The 17,742-nt window shown below is 51.6% G+C and overlaps 1 protein-coding gene across 2 annotated transcripts, besides 4 other annotated features; it reads right to left on the bottom strand.

Moving 5' to 3' along the window:
* Positions 1 to 175: 175 nt before the first annotated feature.
* On the bottom strand, positions 176 to 12,662 carry TRIM56 (tripartite motif containing 56). Of its 2 annotated transcripts, NM_030961.3 has the most exons (3): positions 12,572 to 12,662; positions 10,975 to 11,137; positions 176 to 10,831 (listed from the first exon to the last, which is right to left on the bottom strand). In NM_030961.3, the coding sequence occupies exon 3, from the start codon at positions 10,828 to 10,830 to the stop codon at positions 8,563 to 8,565; it is 2,268 nt and encodes a 755-aa protein (NP_112223.1). In that variant the 5' UTR covers position 10,831; positions 10,975 to 11,137; positions 12,572 to 12,662; the 3' UTR covers positions 176 to 8,562. The 2 variants fall into 2 exon arrangements, with proteins under 2 accessions (NP_112223.1, XP_011514891.1); XM_011516589.4 differs by lacking the exon at positions 10,975 to 11,137.
* Positions 9,690 to 10,329: an enhancer, noted in NCBI's record as "H3K27ac-H3K4me1 hESC enhancer chr7:100731095-100731734 (GRCh37/hg19 assembly coordinates)". NCBI's record gives its function as "activates a minimal SCP1, AML or CMV promoter by ChIP-STARR-seq in naive H9 embryonic stem cells {active_cell/tissue: H9 hESC(naive)}" and the evidence as "EXISTENCE:reporter gene assay evidence [ECO:0000049][PMID:30033119]".
* Positions 10,330 to 10,970: an enhancer, noted in NCBI's record as "H3K27ac-H3K4me1 hESC enhancer chr7:100730454-100731094 (GRCh37/hg19 assembly coordinates)". NCBI's record gives its function as "activates a minimal SCP1, AML or CMV promoter by ChIP-STARR-seq in naive H9 embryonic stem cells {active_cell/tissue: H9 hESC(naive)}" and the evidence as "EXISTENCE:reporter gene assay evidence [ECO:0000049][PMID:30033119]".
* Positions 13,052 to 13,101: an enhancer, noted in NCBI's record as "active region_26398". NCBI's record gives its function as "activates an Ori minimal core promoter by ATAC-STARR-seq in GM12878 lymphoblastoid cells {active_cell/tissue: GM12878}" and the evidence as "EXISTENCE:reporter gene assay evidence [ECO:0000049][PMID:35858748]".
* Positions 13,805 to 14,305: an enhancer, noted in NCBI's record as "H3K27ac hESC enhancer chr7:100727119-100727619 (GRCh37/hg19 assembly coordinates)". NCBI's record gives its function as "activates a minimal SCP1, AML or CMV promoter by ChIP-STARR-seq in naive H9 embryonic stem cells {active_cell/tissue: H9 hESC(naive)}" and the evidence as "EXISTENCE:reporter gene assay evidence [ECO:0000049][PMID:30033119]".

Here is a 17,742-nt window from a genome sequence, read left to right as displayed (position 1 = left end):
TATAATCCCAGCTACTCAAGAGGCTGAGGCAGGAGAATTGCTTGAACCTGGGAGGTGGAGGTTGTAGTGAGCCAAGATCGTGCCACTGCACTCCAGCCTGGACGACAAGAGCGAAACTCCGTCTCAAAAAAAAAAAAAAAGGTTCCCCGTATCCATAAACCCTTCTGAGAAAAGGTTCCAATTTTTCAAAAGAACTTTATTAAGAAACAGAGGAAAGATACAAAATTCCCATCTGAGAAAGGTTCCCATTTTTCAAAAGAACTTTATTAAGAAACACAGAAAAGATACAAAATCCATAACCAAAGGAACTGAAGAGTTTACAGCACACTGGGTTTAGCCCATGGCAATGTAGAGAAATGGGCTGGGCTGGCGCTCAGTCACTAGGCACCGACGTCCTGATTCCTCGTCTTTGACCCAGTGTCCCTTGGTTGCTAAGTCAACCAGTTCTAACTTTCTCTGGAGACAAGTCAGGCTGCCCTCCCAAACCTCCTTCCTAATGTCTTTATACACAGGCCCTCTTCCATCTGGTCCCTAAGATTTCTCACCCAGCACCTCAGGTGAGATCTAGTCTGATGTTGCTGTACTTTGTATACTGCTCCAATCACAGGAGTCTGCAGTTTCTAGAAAATCTATTTTTGCTCCTGTCCTGATCCATTTCATAAACTGCATTCACAATCCAGTTGGGTAGTCTAATTTTGCTACCTTTGGTCAAGTTACCTACTTTCCCAAGTCTGCATCTGAACTTGGTCTTTCTCCTGCTAACAACGTATTCCTAGGTACTCTCTCTGGCAGTTCTCTGCCCCAGTTCATCCAAGACCTTCTCCCCAATACAGAAGTCCGCACCCCTTTCCAATCTCCCACTTAATTTATGGGATAGCCCTAGTTCTCTGCTTACCTTTCAAGGAGAGACAATCAGAGACCTTGATCTTGGCACTCGCCTGTTCAACCCTGCCCAGCTCAGGTCAGCAACCTCATCGGTTTCCTTGCAAAACTTTTGACTTCTGCCTTGGACTTTCGCCCCTTAGAATTTTATTTCTGCAGATTTAGAATATGGCATTGCTTTATAGATACCGTAATAATAAGGCTAAAATAGAAGGAGAGCTACTCCCTTTCCAAATGATATTTTCTCTAAACTCTCAAAAGATTGGGCCACTCTTGCCATTTTTCACTTTTTCTAAATGTCTACTCTTATGGGTCCTTAACTAATACGGTCTGATTCTTAGCTGGCTTTTAAGAATGGCATTACATTTCAGCAAGCTGGCCATTGGTCCCTTCTATTCCTGAAGTCACTGTTGTGACTTCAGATAAGGCTTCTTCAAGTAACTGCTGGAAAGCAAAACAAAATGGTCTCCTCTGAAGGAGAAGCTGATTTGCAGAAAGCTCTACTCGGGTGTTCCAGAGCTTTCACTCACAACACATGTACCTAACATCCTCATACACGCTTATGCTGATGGAGGGGTATCAGGTGGGTACAAGTCAGTTGAAACTTTTCCTAACCAACACCTTGTATTTGAGCTTTATGGTGTCCGAAATACTTCTCTACATTTCTCATCCAGTCCTCACAGCAGCTCTGTGAAGTGGGCATGTGGATGTCATTATCCCAATGTTACTGATGTACAAACTGAGGCTCAGAGAGGTTAAGGCACTAGACCAAGATCACACAGCTGTTTAGTGCAGAGCCAACACTCAACCCAGGTCTCTGCTCCCTCATTCTCTTCCCATTTCTTGACACCAAGAATACGAAAGAGGTTTTCTACTTCCCTCTTCCCTACCCAAACAGGATTTTCTTTTCACTGGTCCATCCACGCACAACCTAGTCAGTTCCGAACAGGAAAAGGAACAATTTATCAAGTTAATTGTCACAATCCCAGGTGTGGTGCAGTGGGCTGGGGTAAAACATTTTGCTGTATCTTTCATGATGTTCCTGATTTCTCTCTTTTTTTTTTTTCTTTTTGAGACAGGGTCTCACTCTGTTGCCCAGGCTGGAGTGCAGTGGTACGATCTCAGCTCGCTGCAACCCCTGCCTCCCGGGCTCAAGCGATTCTCCCACCTCAGCCTCCTGAGTAGCTGGGATTACAGGCATGTGCCACCACGCCTGGCTAATTTTTGTATTTTTAGTAGAGATGGGGGTTTCACCATGTTGGCTAGGCTGGTCTCGAACTCCTGACCTCAGGTCATCCACCCGCCTCAGCCTCCCTAAGTGCTGTGATTACAAGCGTGTTCCTGGTCTCTTTGTATCTGCGATATAACTGGGAACTCTGCCTTAGTCCTGAGCAGGGCTTTCTATCAGGTCCCCAGGCCACTCAGTTACGGTGTTGGAGATTTTACCTCCAAATTATGCTCAATGCAACACTTCCCATCCATGCTTCTCATTTTCCAGTGTCCTTTGCTGCTCTCGCCCCCCTCACCTCTTTACGAAGAAAACTTAATATTTCCCTCCATCTTACAATGCCCTGTGGATTCTTACAGCTTCCCGAGAAGCCACTTGGCATCCCCATCTCTAGGGCGCCTGTGGGACTATCTTCTTGCAGCCAGGTGACGTTTCATTTCTGAAGGTTTCTATTGTTTTGCCCCCTGGGTGGGCCACGTGGCTAGAATCATTTCACCAGCCAGGACCACTGCCCATGGCTCCCATGCAACTCCGGAGAGCTGCTGTTTCCACCCCAAGGTGTGCGATCCCCTACAGTACACGGTTCCCAGTTACCCCCTCCACATGCACAGAAGCGGGACACCCCGATCTCATCTCTCCCTCTTTTATCCCCCCCTTAGGAAACCAGGTTTTGCTCTGTCACTCAGGCTGGAGTGCAGTGGCACAATCAGAGCTCACTGCAGCCTTGAACTCCTGGGCTCGAGCAATCTTCTGCCTCAGCCTCCCGAGCAGCTGGGACTACGGGTGCATGCCACCACCTCTGGCTAATTTAAAAATTTTTTTGTAGAGATGGGGTCTTGCTATGTTGCCCAGCCTAGTCTTGAACTCCTGGCCTCAAGACATCCTCCCGCCTTGGCCACGCAAAGTGCTGAGATAACAGGAGTGACCACTGCACCTGGCTCAGTCTCATTTTTTTTTTTTTTTTTTGACGCGGAGCCCAGCCTTGGGAGGCAGATGCGAACCGTGTCCACAGTGCCCCCTACTGGAGATTCCCCACAAGCCGAGGTTTTGGAGGTGGGAAAGCTTTGGAGAGTCATACCAGTCTCATCCTTGTCTAGATAGTAATTCACTTCACAGACATTCACTGAGCACCTACTATGAGGTATCACAGTGCTGGCTCTGCAGACAGAGCTGCAATGAAGACAGACACCGTTCCCTGCCCCCCTCCCCCCGCCCCCATGTAGCTGATCCCTATTCTAGTTGGTCCTGTAGAAACTCCACTTGGTTTCCAGTTGGTCTGAGTTATTTGGTGAACTCAACAAAACTTCCCCCGCCTTCCAGACACTCCACGATAATTCGATCACCTGGCAGGGGGGACCCCGACCTTTGCAAACCTTCCCAGAGCGGTTCCTTGGACTGCCACCCTGCCCCAATGGCCCTGCCTCCTGGCTGAGCCCCGGCCGGGTGGGATCCTCCTCCCTGGCTCCTGCCTCTTCTTTCATAGGACAATCTCATTCGTTCTGACACCTTCATTCTCAAACCCAGTAGTTATTGAGTATTACTTATAAAGGTGTATTTCCTTGAAGCAAATAATCAAGCATGTATGTTATGTAATGGATAATAAAAACTGAAGTAGAAATGTACACGTATGAATAATAGCACAAAATAATGAAAAACAAACAAAAAACAAAACAAAAAAAACCCCAATCTCCCAAATTAATGACTATTTACAAATTCCGAACCTATTTCTACTCAGTAATTATTTAGACAGATGTTTTCCTTGTTACTATCACTATTTGATCATAATTCCTGATTCTCCGTTTTTGAGGATTATGACTGTATCACGTAACTATTTCTTCTCAATAGTTTTCATAGTTGTCATACACAAAGAAAGGCTCATTCCCCTAATAAACCACAATCTAGTTAGCTGTCACCCTGCAGCCGAACAGTTTCCAGTTCTTGCCTGTAATATACAGAGCAGCCTCAAATGTCTGTATGCAAATATTTTTTCTCTTACATTATTTTCCCAGAATGTATTCCCCAAAGTGAGACAACTGATTCTTATAATCATTTTTGTCATTCTTGCAAAGTCTAGCCAAATTATTCTCCAGGATCATTTTTATAGTGCCAGGAGTCTATTTCTCCGCAAGATTTCTCACCCATTTATTTAACATTTATTTTTGACCACTGCAAGTGGATTTAATTATTTATTTATTATTTTTTTGAGACAGAGTCTCACTGTGACACCCAGGCTGGAGTGCAATGGGGTGAACTCGGCTCGCTGCACCCTCTGCCTCCCAGGTTCAAGCGAGTCTCCTGCCTCAGACTCCCCAGTAGCTGGGATTACAGGCATGCGCCACCACACCCGGGTAATTTTTGTATTTTTAGTAGAGATGGGGTTTCACCGTAGTGGCCAGGCTGGTCTCAAACTCCTGACCTCAGGTGATCCACCCACCTCAGCCTCCCAAAGTGCTGGGATTACAGGTGTGAGCCACCGCGTCCAGCCTTTCTTTTTTTTTTTTTTAATTATTATTATTTTTTATTTTACTAGTCCTTGCCTGCATACATTTCCTCCAGGGTACAGAGCTTATGTGGTTCTTTGACCAAATACTGTTCTAGTCATTGCATGTATTAGAGACCAAGGCTTTCCTCGTCAAATCAATTCTGCATGGTTTTCCCATCTTCTTGGTTTTCTTTTTTTTTTTTTTTTTTTAATTTTTTATTGATCATTCTTGGGTGTTTCTCGCAGAGGGGGATTTGGCAGGGTCATAGGACAATAGTGGAGGGAAGGTCAGCAGATAAACAAGTGAACAAAGGTCTCTGGTTTTCCTAGGCAGACGACCCTGCGGCCTTCCGCAGTGTTTGTGTCCCTGGGTACTTGAGATTAGGGAGTGGTGATGACTCTTAAGGAGCATGCTGCCTTCAAGCATCTGTTTAACAAAGCACATCTTGCACCGCCCTTAATCCATTTAACCCTGAGTGGACACAGCACATATTTCAGAGAGCACGGGGTTGGGGGTAAGGTCTTAGATTAACAGCATCCCAAGGCAGAAGAATTTTTCTTAGTACAGAACAAAATGAAGTCTCCCATGTCTACTTCTTTCTACACAGACACGGCAACAATCTGATTTCTCTATCTTTTCCCCACCTTTCCCCCTTTTCTATTCCACAAAACCGCCATCGTCATCATGGCCCGTTCTCAATGAGCTGTTGGGTACACCTCCCAGACGGGGTGGTGGCCGGGCAGAGGGGCTCCTCACCTCCCAGACGGGGCGGCCGGGCAGAGGCGACCCCCCACCTCCCGGACGGGACAGCGGCCGGGCGGAGGCGCCCCCCACCTCGCTCCCGGGCGGGGCGGCTGGCCGGGCGGGGACTGATCCCCCACCTCCCTCCCGGAAGGCGCGGCTGGCCGGGCGGGGGCTGACCCCCCACCTCCCTCCCGGACGGCGCGGCTGGCCGGGAGGGGGCTGACCCCCCACCTCCCTCCCGGACGGGGCGGCTGCCGGGCGGAGGGGCTCCTCACTTCTCAGACGGGGCGGCTGCCAGGCGGAGGGGCTCCTCACTTCTCAGACGGGGCGGCTGGGCAGAGACGCTCCTCACCTCCCAGACTGGGTCGCGGCCGGGCAGAGGCGCTCCTCACATCCCAGACGGGGCGGCGGGGCTGAGGTGCTCCCCACATCTCAGATGATGGGCAGCCGGGCAGAGACACTCCTCACTTCCTAGATGGGATGGCGGCCAGGAAGAGGCGCTCCTCACTTCCCAGACTGGGCAGCCGGGCAGAGGGGCTCCTCACATCCCAGACAATGGGCGGCCAGGCAGAGACACTCCGCACTTCCCAGAGGGGGTGGCGGCCGGGCAGAGGCTGTAATCTCGGCACTTTGGGAGGCCAAGGCGGGCGGCTGGGAGGTGGAGGTTGTAGCTAGCCGAGATCACGACACTGCACTCCAGCCTGGGCAACATTGAGCACCGAGTGAACGAGACTCCGTCTGCAATCCCGGCACCTCCGGAGGCCGAGGCTGGCGGATCACTCGCGGTTAGGAGCTGGAGACCAGCCCGGCCAACACAGTGAAACCCCGTCTCCACCAAAAAAATACGAAAACCAGTCAGGCGTGGCGGCGCGCGCCTGCAATCGCAGGCACTCGGCAGGCTGAGGCAGGAGAATCAGGCAGGGAGGTTGCAGTGAGCCGAGATGGCAGCAGTACAGTCCAGCTTCGGCTCGGCATCAGAGGGAGACCGTGACCATGGAAAGAGAGGCAGAGGGAGACCGTGGGGAGAGGGAGAGGGAGAGGGACCTTGGTTTTCTTTCTTTTCTTTTTCTTTTTTTTTGAGATGGAGTTTCATTCTTGTTACCCAGGCTGGAGTGCAATGGTGCGATCTGAGCTCACTGCAACTTCCACCTCCTGGGTTCAAATGATTCTCCTGCCTCAGCCTCCCAAGTAGCTGGGATTACAGACGCCCGCTCCCACGCCTAGCTAATTTTTGTATTTTTAGTAGAGATGGGGTTTCTCCATGTTGGCCAGGCTGGTCTCGAACTCCTGACCTTGAGTGATCCACCCACCCCAGCCTCCCAGAGTGCTGGGATTACAGGCTTGAGTCACCGTGCCTGGCGCTTGGTTTTCTTATAATCTTCATTATTCTTTGCTGTGCCTACCTTTGTAATTTGTAGATAATGGAATGTGTCCACCCGGACTTTGATGATGTCCTGCATTGTTTCAATAAACAAGAAATGGTTTTCCCAGAAAGGGATTTTCTTTTCCCTCTACCTATGCCCTGCACATTCCATCTGGACTTGTCCAAAATCCCTCTGGTTCCCACGAATGCCCCACTGTCCACAGTCCCCACATTAAGACCCCCTTCTGCCATCTCTCAACAGCCCCTGGCTAAAAACATTCTCCAAGCCTACTTGCCCCCTCAATTCTACCACTGCCACCACTTATGAAAAGGTCCGGTGGTCACAGCCCACCTCCGACGGGTTCCTCCCTTCTGGTTTGACACCTCTATCCGTCGCAGCCCCATTGCACCTTCTAGGTTTTCTTGGCACCTCCAAGTTCCACTTGGCCTGCAGGGTTTAGCTGTTTCCCCAGCAATAGTGGCCCACAGAGGACAACCTTCCTTCACCCCCTAGTTCAGCCGAGTGAAGGCCAACATATCTCAAAAGGAATTTTGCTGGAAAATGAAGAGAAGGCAACACATAGACCCTGGGAAATGGAAAGACACCGAAGCAGAAGCGTTGGAGCCTAGAGATTTTTCTATCCTATGTACCTCTTCCCTCAGACTGGCTCCGTGGCTGCGTGGAGGGCTCCCCTGCTCTGACACTCATAACTTGGTATTTATTTATTTATTTATTTATTTATTTATTTATTTATTTTAACACTTGATCTTAGCTGAGAAGTGATGGATAACCTGCTTTTTCTGTTGTTTCTGTTTTTTTTTTTTTTTTTTTTTTTCGAGATGGGGTCTGGAATGCAGTGGTGCGATCATAGCTCACTGCAGACTCAAACTCCTCGGCTCAAGGGATCCTCCCACCTCAGCCTCCTGAGTAGCTACGTTGAAAGGCATATGCTACTACACGCAGCTAATTTTTAATCTTTTGTAGAGATGGGGTCTCGCTATGTTGCCCAGGCTGGTCTCAAACTCCTGGCCTCAAGCAATCCTCCTGCCACAGACTCCCAAAGTGCCGGGATTATAGGCATGAGCCACTGCGCCTGGCAGAGCCTGGTTTTTTTTTAATACTTAATCTTAGCCAAAAGGCTGAGAAGCGATGGAGAATGTGGATTTTTGGACGTGAATTCTGTTGGGTTTGGTTTTCCAGTAGCCTATTCTCTTCGCAGCCTTTGAACCTAACACCTCTTTGGCCCCAGCTGCTGTCTGCACTTGCAGACCCTCCTGCAAGCTCACCCTGTACTACCGCCGGGGGATGCCGTGATCAAGGAGCATCCTGCCTGTGGCTGGCAGAAGAGGCCATTCACTGCCCATTCGAAATCTCAGGCCTCCTCTGACTCTGTAGGACCCTGTGCCAGTCCAAGGGGGGCCGGGGTCTCAGCTCTGTTCCACAGTGCACACGCCTGACCCACCCTGGGCCCTTCTTGGCCCCAAGACTCTCCCTCGGCTACTCTATCAGGAATGGTTTTGAAGAATGCAAAGCAGGACAGGCTCACAAACCTCAGAAACCTAAACTATATAGCAGCGGCGGTGGTGGCAGCAGCCACCCACAAAAAGCAAGAGGCAGGTGAACTCCCAGCATCCCCCTCCACCCACCTGCCTCCTCTGCTTCTGAGAGTTAAGGTCACGCCACCACCTTGGTCCCTATTCTCACACACTAGAAGACGGGTTAGCAGTTTGGCACTCCATGTTGAAAAGTTGCCAACCCCTGCCCTTCAGGAAAATGTCCTCGGCCTCCACCTCCCACGGACAGCTCTGCCTCCTTCCTGCCCTCTCCCTCCCCACTCCCTCTCACCCTAGTCCTAGCCCCTTTAACTGTCCGGAGAACGGACCCGAAAGATGTGGATGGTCCCGTTACTGAGGGACACGACCAGGTACCTGCCATCCACCATGGTGGTAACCCGGGGCTTTTCCAGGCCGTGGTAGGCTGTCAGGAAGTCTCCAAGGAGGGACCCCTTCGGGTCCAGGATCACCACCTTGTTGACTTCTCGAAGGGTCAGAAAGATGTAGCCCTTCTTATCCACAGACACGGAGCCCGGCTGGCAGCCATGCAGGCCTGGCCCCTTGTACTCCCCAACCACCTGGCCCAGCCCATCACAGATTACCACACTATTCTGCTGCCAGTCCGACCCCACGAAATGCCCCTGGGGGCTGGTGGTCAGAAACACCAGCGCCCGCAGGCCCCGGCTGGCCTTGCCTCCAGGAATGAACCGGGTGGCCAGGCTGCCTTCCATATTGTACACCTCCACGTGGCCCGCCACGCTGACAGCCACGCGGTCCCCGCTAGGCAGTGCCGCCACCGCGTGGCTGGCCTGGGAGAGGCTCAGGGCCCTGCGCCACTGCACTTCGCCGTTGGGGTTGATGAGATAGAGCCGTGCGCTAGCGGAGAAGGCCACCGCGCTCTGCAGGGCGGCCACGCTGCAAGGGGAGCAGCCCTCAGGGACCGGCACGGTGCCCTTGTAGTCGCCGTTGAGGGAGAAGCGTTTCAGTGCCCGGTTCTGCTCATCCGCCACCAGGATCTCCCGGGGACCGAAGGGACAGAGCCCGGTGATCCGGGGGGACCGCTTGTCTCCAGGCATCCGCGTGGGGAAACTGCAGTAAAAGATGGGTCTGGGGAGGAGGCCAGAGCCGTCCAGATTCGGCCCCAGGGCTGGGCTGGGCTCCCGGGAAATTGACTTGAGCCTGCCTTTGAACTTTTTCTTCTTGTTGGGTCTGCCACCCCTGTGGGGCTGGGGTCCTCCATCCTCGTGGGGTGTCTGGGCCCTGTCCTCCTCCAAGGTCTGGGCTCCCTCTTCTCGGGTTGTCTGGGCTTTTTCCTCTTTTGGGGTCTGGGCTCCATCTCCAGCCTGGGGCTGGACTCCACCCTGTCTCTCAGTCTTCGGCTCATCCTCCCTCCGGCTCTGGCTCTCCTCACCTCCCTGGGTACCAGCTCCGTCTTTCCCACCATCCTTCTGGGGCTGCTGCTCCTCAAAGGACAGCCGAAGAAGGTGGCAGTTCTTGTCCAGGAGCCCAGGATGGAGCTCCAGCTGTGGGAGCAGGCAGGGGGCCGGGCCTGGTGCCCAGGGGCAGCCCTGCAGCTGCCTGAGCCGCTGTGCGATCGCCCCTTCCAGGGAGAGGATCTCGGCCTCTCGCCCCAGGCTGAGTACCCGGCGGGCGAAGGCGGCTGCGGCCCTGGCCACCTGCTCCCGGCCCTCAAGCTCCGCCAGCCTCTCCCGAGCAGCTTCTTCGGCAGCCTCCACGTGGGCTCGTAGCTGCCCCAGCACCTCCTGCTTCTGGGCCAGCAGGGCCCGGAGGACGCCCTCAGCCGCCTCCTCCACCTGAGTCCCCACCCGGGCCGCCTGCTCCCGCAGCCGGGCTAGCGCCTCCTTCTCCACCCTCCGCGCTGCCTCCAGCTCCACCAGGTTATTGTCCACACCGGCCAGCAGTCCCTCCAGGCCCGGCCTCCGGGCACGCACAGCTTCAGCCAGAGGCAGGCAGGGGTGGTCCAGGTGGGGGTCTAGGCGGCACTCTCTGCACAGCAACTGTGAGCAGGGCTGGCACAGGAAGCGCAGTGCCTCCCCGGGGTGCTGGGGACACTGGGCCGCTTGGCGCTCCCGGGCCTCCTCATCATACCACCCGGCCCTGTAGCCCACCAGGTCCACCACGCGGTGGGTGTGGGTCTGGCGGGTGCAGCGGTGCCCGTCGGCACAGGCCTGGCACAAGTCATCGGCACAGTCCAGGCACCGGGCCGTGGCCGGCCCCCCGGTGCTGGTGCCACCCACCAGGGGACACAGGGCACAGGCTGGCTTCCCGGCACGCAGGTCTCCACAGGCCCGGGCCTTCACCAGGTCCAGCAGCCCATTGACGAAGAAGTTGGTCTTGAAGGAGGCCACACCCTCGGGCGGCACAGGCACTGTCTCGCGGCACTCGGGGCAGCGGACGCGGCCGCCATCCGCCAGCTGTGCCAGGCAGTCTTGGCAGTAGGTATGCAGGCAGGGCAGTGTCTTGGGTGCCCGCAGCTGCTCCAGGCAGATTTTACAGGCCAGGAAGTCGCTGCTCAGGGCCTCCAGGAGGGAGGGCGAGGACCCGTGGGAAACCATGCTGCAGGCAGAGGCGTCAGGATCAGAGTTGAGAAGGCACCTTCACCAGCTCACCCTCTAGCTTCTACCGCCCGTCCTCAAGCCCCACGGATCCCCAGGGCTAGGGGCTGACCCAAATGGCCGGGAAGGAACCTGAGGTCTCACCTGAATGGCCAGGAACTTCCTTCTAGTCTTCTGAGGCCTTGGGCCACTTGCTCTTGAGCTAAGGAGCTGCCCTCCTCCTTCTCCTCCTCCTCCTCCACTTCCGTGTGTACATCCAGCAAACGTAAAAATGTCAGTGCTACTTGTTGGGTCAGACCTGTGAGAACTGACAAGACCAGGAGTCCCTGGCCTTAGCTAATAATCGAATCCTCAGTGTCCCCAGTCCACAGGCCTTGTGGCAAACATGGTGGAAGCCCTCCTGTGTGCACAGGTACTGGGGTCCTGCTGTATAGGGTGCCAGGGTGCGAGGAGCAGGCAGTAAGGACACAGACGGGGATCCCAGTGGGCAGAGATGCCTAGGTCCTGCCAGTTGGGGTAGGATCTTGCAGTAGCTTAGGGGGCTTTAATCCTCCAAGCCCCATACACCTGCCTTCTTTTTATTTTATTTTAGTTTTTAGCAATAGGGTCACCCTCTGTCACCCAGGCTGGAGTGCAGTGGCGTGATCGTAGTTCACTGCAGCCTCAAACTCCTAGACTCAAGTCTTTTGAGTAGTTGGGAGTACAGGCATGTGCCACCATGCCCAGCCTTTTTTTTTTTTTTTTTTTTTTTTGAGACAGAGTCTCACTCTGTTGCCCAGGCTGGAGTGCAGTGGTGCGATCTTGGCTCACTGCCACCTCCACCTGCCAGGTTCAAGTGATTCTCCTGCCTCAGCCTCCCGAGTAGCTGTGATTACAGGTGCGCACCATCACACCCGGCTAATTTTTGTATGTTTAGTAGAAATGGAGTTTGGCCCTATTGGCCAGGCTGGTCTTGAACTCCTGACCTCAGGTGATCCGCCCTCCTCGGTCTCCCAAAGTGCTGGGATTATAGGCGTGAGCCACCATGCCCAGGGGCCCAGCCAGCCCATTTTTTAAAAATTATCACTTTTTGTAGAGATGGGGTCTTGCTATGTTGCCCAGGCTGGTCTCCAACTCCTGGCCTCAGGCTATCCTCCCGTCTCGGCCTTCCCAAAGCATTAGGATTACAGGCATGAGCCACCGCACCCGCCTGGCCTTACACCTGTCTTCTGCTAGACCTGGGGCAGCATCGCGGGTGGTGGAGGCCCCACTTTCTGCATTTAACAGTTTCTAAAGCGGATTCTGGAGCGGGCAGAAAAAACGCTAGGGGAAGGGCTGGTCCCCTTCCCGCTGCTGGCTCACCCTCTGATAGACTTGGCCTTGGCTTATCTCCTGGAGTCCTGTTCTTTTAGCTTTTCCTGCTGAATGCATTCCAGAAACCTCTGGAGGGAGGGAGTCCCGAGCTCCTGGCACAGTGGCTGAGACCTACTTGTTGGGCAGACTAGGTGGAATGTCCCCTTTTCTGGAGCTGGGAGGAGACCTCAGAGAGTGGGACGGGGTCTTTCTTGCGGGGACCTGTGGCCACGGAGCGGGAGGGAGGCGAGTGCAGTTTCCCTCCTGCCCTCTCCTCCTGCCTTCCGGGTGCCTCTTCACGCCCTCCCTTTCCTTCCCTTCCTCCTCCTCCCGCGCTCTCTCTCCACTCCCCTCCCCCTACTCCCTCCGCTCGGTCCTTCCTATAGCTGTGCCGCCCCCCACCCCTTACCTAGCCAGAGCTGATCTTGACCTCTAGGATGGTGAGGGGGCCTGAGGCCTGGAGGCCGCCGTTGCTGGGTGCCTGGAAAAGAAACAAAACTGAAACTAATTGTACTTGTGGTGCAACTTCCGTCCCAGCCAGGGACACACCGACTCGCCTCGCACAGCCTCAGGCCCCGCCTTCCTCCCCACCCGGCCCCGTCCTCTCCCGCCAAGGCCCCCACCCCGGCAGGCAGCTGGCAGGCTTGGGCTGGAGTCCACCAGCCAGGTCGGCCTGTCAGTCCAGCCTCAGGGCTAAGTGTGTGTATGTCACAAACAGGGAACTACCTGAGGGCGGGTTCTCTGAGTAGAGGGTGGAGGGTCACAGGGTTTATTTGTGGGAAGAAATGAGAGCTCATCTGTGATTCAGAGACCAGGGTAACTAGACACATGGCCTCAGGGCGGGTCTGCAGATTTGCTAACACCTCAGGCAGGCAGGTGCCTGCAAAGCTTCAAGAGAGGCCTTTCATTCCATAAACCGTTGCTGAGCTGTAGGAGAGGCTGTGGGGGATCAGGTAAGAAGCCTCTTGCTGAGGGAACAGCACAGGCTTCCTGGAGAAGGCATCAATGAGATGAGTTTAAAGAAGGCGGGAGGATTGCTTCAGCCCAGGAGTTCAAGACCAGCTTGGGCAATATGGTGAGACCCAGTCTCCATAAAAAATTCGCTAGCCGTGCATGGTAGCGCATACCTGTAATCCCAGATACTCAGGAGACTGAGGCAGGAGAATCACTTGAACCTGGGAGGTCGAGGCTGCAGTGAGCCATGATGGTGACACTGCACTCCAGCCTGGATGACAGAGCAAGACCCTGTCTAAAAAATAAAACAGTAAGAGGGCATAGAGGGCTGGAGAACACTGAGAAGAATGTTCCTGTTCCAGGTACTGGGAGCAGCAAGGGTACATCCCCATTTAGGATGATGTGTGTGGAGAGGATACGAGAGTGTTGGCAGAGAAGCCTGCATTTTATCAAAAAAGACAAAAGAATCATTGCAGGAGATTTCCCTCAACATTTCATGAAAAAATAATTTTTATTTTGAGACAAAGCCTCGCTCTGTCGCCCAGGCTGGAGTGCAGTGGTGTGATCTTAGCTCACAGCAACCTCCGCTTCCCGGGTTCAAGCGATCCTCCTGCCTCAGCCTCCAAAGTAGCTGGGATTACGGGCACTCACTGCCACGCCCAGCTAATTTTTGTATTTTTAGTAGAGATGGGGTTTCACTATGTTGGCCAGGCTGGTCTCGAACTTCTGACCTCAAGTGATCCACCCACCTTGGCCTCCCAAAGTGCTGGGATTACAGGCGTGAGCCAACATGCACAGCCTCATTTTATGAAAAATTCAAAGCACAAAGAAGTTGAAAGAATTGCGGTGAACACCCATATCTCCACCACTTCTGTTCTACAATTATCATTTTACCGTAATTAATTCATGACATACCTATGCATGTTTGTACCTTTTTATCCACATGGCGGAATTTAAGTAGGAAACTGAAGCTGTAAGAGCTCACTCTGGCAGCAGCCGAGAGGACAGAAGGGAGCCTGACCTCAGGGTCCAGGTGAAAGGTGGAGGGGCTGAGACATAGATGCCAGAGAGGTAGGTGGAAATCCAAAAGAGAGAGGGTCACAGAGGCCAAGGCAGGAAATGCTGCACTTCTAGAAGGACGAGGGGGTCAGCACTGTTGAATGCTACCAACCAGACGGGCAACCAAGGTGAAGACAGAAAAACAGGCCAGGTGCAGTGGCTCACACCTGTAATCTCAGCACTTTGGGAGAATCACTTGAGGCCAGGAGTTCGAGACCAGCCTGGCCAACATGGCAAAACCTCGTCTCTACTAAAAAACAAAACAAAACAAAACAAAACCTAGCCTTCCTAGCTACTCGGTAGGCTGAGGCAGGAGAACTGCTTAAACCTGGGAGGCAGAGGTTGCAGCGAGCCTAGATCGCACCATTGCACTCCAGCCTGGGCAACAGAGTGAGACTCCATCTCAAAAAATATATATATTAGCTACCTGATGGCTCACACCTGAAGTCCCAGCTATTCAGGAGGCTGAAGCAGGAGGTTCGCTTGAGCCCAGGACTTCAAGGCTGCATGTGCCATGATCTATGCCACTGCACTCCAGCCTGGGTGACAGATCAAGACTCTCTCTACAAAAAAAAAAAATTAAAATTAAAATTAAATTCCCTGTTGTGAATCTCGTAAGGTCTTAATATAATGGTCAAGGAAGGCCATTATAAGGCTTCCAGCAGGGAAGTTTGGACTTTGTCCTATAGGTATTAGAGGGAGTGGCCAGCACAGACATTTGTTTGTTTGTTTTTTGTTTGTTTGTTTGCAGAGATGGGGTCTTTCTATGTTGCCTAGGCTAGTCCTGGGATTATAGGCATGAGCTACCAGGCCCGGCCCCCAGCAGAGGTTTTTAATCCTAAATTATAATGTGGATACTTTAAAACACTCATATCATCATTGTAACACAATTAACTATTTCTTTCCTGTGTGTATGTCCTTTGGTCTCTGTCCGTATTTTACATAATTATATTTACAGGGTACATATAATTTTGTCTATAAAACTTAGCCCTATACCAACTGGTAAACAAAATTATGAGGCCAGGTGTGGTGGCCCATGCTTGTAATCCCAGCACTTTGGGAGGCCAAGGTGGGAGGATTGCTTGAGTTCAGGAGTTTGAGACCAGCCTGGGCAACATACTGAGACCACCCCCGTCTCTACGGAAAAAATAAAAAATTAGAAAGAGGGCACATGTTCTCAGGATCTCCCGGGGCTGTGTCACAAGTCATTAAAAAAAATAATGTGCCTATAGTTCCAGCTACTTGGGAGGCTGAGGTGGGAGGATCGCTTGAGTCCCAGAGTTCAAGACCAGCCTGGGTTAACATTGAGGCAGAAATTTAAAAATAATAGTAATAATAAGTACTGCATTCATTCACTCCAAGAAAAGTAAAAGCCAAGGCCCAGAATGTGGGAAGATAAGGGTTAAAAAGAAAAGAAGAACAAATTTTCCTCTGCCTAACAAACTCACTTCAAGGACAGTTATAAGATAACGCTGCTCGAGAAGTCAAAACCAAAGGAATAGGTTCCAGACAGTCCCCCTCCGAAGCAAAGGTGAAGGAAAAAAAAAAAAAAAAGAAGGACAAATGTCTGTATTTAGCCAGTTCTTGTTTTTTCTTTCAATGCAGCTATACGGCCACCAGCTATGCAAGGCCATGAGTTATGCCAAGCCATCAGTTATGCTATAGATTATATGACCTGTTATTATATGATTAACTGTCTTTGTTTTGCTTCTATAAGTTTGCTTATAATAATCCCGCTCAGTCTTTGTTTAAGGCTCAGCTTTTTGGATGTGAATCCACTGAGCCAGCACACACCTTAAAATAAATATCCTCCTGTATTCACCCATACTGGTCTCTCTAGTCCTCTGCATCCCACAGCAACATACAGAGATCTCATCTCTAAAAACAAACAGGCCAGGCAGTGGCTCACACCTGTAATTCCAGCACTTTGGGAGGCTGAGGTGGGCAGATCACCTGAGGTCAGGAGTTCGAGACCACCCTGGCCAACATGGCAAAACCTCGTCTCTGCTAGAAATACAAAAATTAGCCAGGCGTGGTAGCATGCTCCTATAATCCCAGCTACTTGGGAGGTTGAGACAGGAGAATCACTTGAACCCAGGAGGCAGAGGTTGCAGTGAGTCAAGATCGCACCACTGCACTCCAGCCTGGGCAACAGAGTGAGACTCTGTCTTAAATAATAATAATAACAACAACAACAACAACAAACAAACAAAATTATGGGAGGCTATTGTGTGGACTGAACTCCTACATTAGACTCCTGCCAACCAGACCAAACCAAAATGGAGTCACTCATGCTAAATGCCACATCATCAAACCGAGAGTTTGAGGAAGCAGACAGATTCCCAAACAGACCAGTTTTTCTTGAAAACAAGGGATTCCAATCTACTTGAGTGAACATAATAAGGAAGTCCCCACTGCTTTAACCTTCCACAAAAGCAACATGAAGTAACCTAAGGTTAACCAATTAGCTTGTTTTTCTACTCTTCTGTTTCCTTGTTCCTTCCTTACAAACTCACTGTTCTGCAGTTACAGTGTGAGATCTCAGCATATTTCTTAGAATGGCAGGTGGCTCCCTTCATGAATGGCAAAAGCCCACTAGATCTATAACTAGAATTGTTGTAATGTTGTCATTTGACAAAATATTTTCTTTTCTTTTTTTTCTTTTTCTTTTTCTTTCTTTTTTTTTTTTTTGACAAGGTCTTGCTCTGTTGCCCGAACTGGAGTGCAGTGGCTCAATCTCAGCTCACTGCAACCTCCTCCTCCCAGGCTCAAACAATTCTCCTGCCTCAGCCTCCCGGGTAGCTGGGACTACAGGCACATGCCACCATGCCCAGCTAATTTTTGTATTTTTTTGTAGAGATATTAAAATTTTTTTTTCACTGTGTTGGCCAGGCTGGTCTCAAACTGCTGAGCTCTGGTGATCTGCCTGCCTCATCCTCCCAAAGTACTAGGATTGCAGGCATGAGCCACCACGCCCAGCTGACAAGATATTTTCTAGGATTTTACATATTCTTTGTAGTTTTTAGAATTAATGGCTTCATAAATTATCTGCCGTAATTTACTTAACGATTTAGTAATATGCTAGTAAACTGTCACCTCCTCTTAAAAAAAAAAAAACCCTGGGCCGGGCACAGTGGCTCACAGCTGTAATCCCAGCACTTTGGGAGGCCGAGGCGGGTGGATCACGAGGTCAGGGGATCAAGACCATCCTGGCTAACACAGTGAAACCCCGTCTCTACTAAAAAAGACGAAAAAATTAGCTGGGCGTGGTGGCGGATGCCTGTAGTCACAGCCACTCAGGAGGCTGAGGCAGGAGAATGCCATGAACCCAGGAGGCGGAGCTTGCAGTGAGCCGAGATCGCGCCACTGCACTCCAGCCTGGGCGACAGAGCGAGACTCCGTCTCAAAAAACAAACAAACAAACAAACAAAAATCATGCACACCACCACTATTTAACAACCAGCCCATAGAATTCTTTTTTAAATAATTTTTATTTATTATTTCTTATTGAAACAGGGTCTCGCTATGTTGGGCAGTGTGGTCTTGAACTCCTGGCTTCAGGTGGTC

This window comes from Homo sapiens, chromosome 7 (assembly GCF_000001405.40).
Source record: "Homo sapiens chromosome 7, GRCh38.p14 Primary Assembly".
NCBI classification, from domain to species: Eukaryota; Metazoa; Chordata; class Mammalia; order Primates; family Hominidae; genus Homo; species Homo sapiens.
The sequence above is the reverse complement of the archived record's forward strand: the minus strand, read 5'-3'. Positions and strand labels throughout refer to the sequence as shown.

Bases quoted from the DNA above. Each gene is read 5' to 3' on its own strand.
- TRIM56 (NM_030961.3), bottom strand. From the start codon at position 10,830: ATGGTTTCCCACGGGTCCTCGCCCTCCCTCCTGGAGGCCCTGAGCAGC.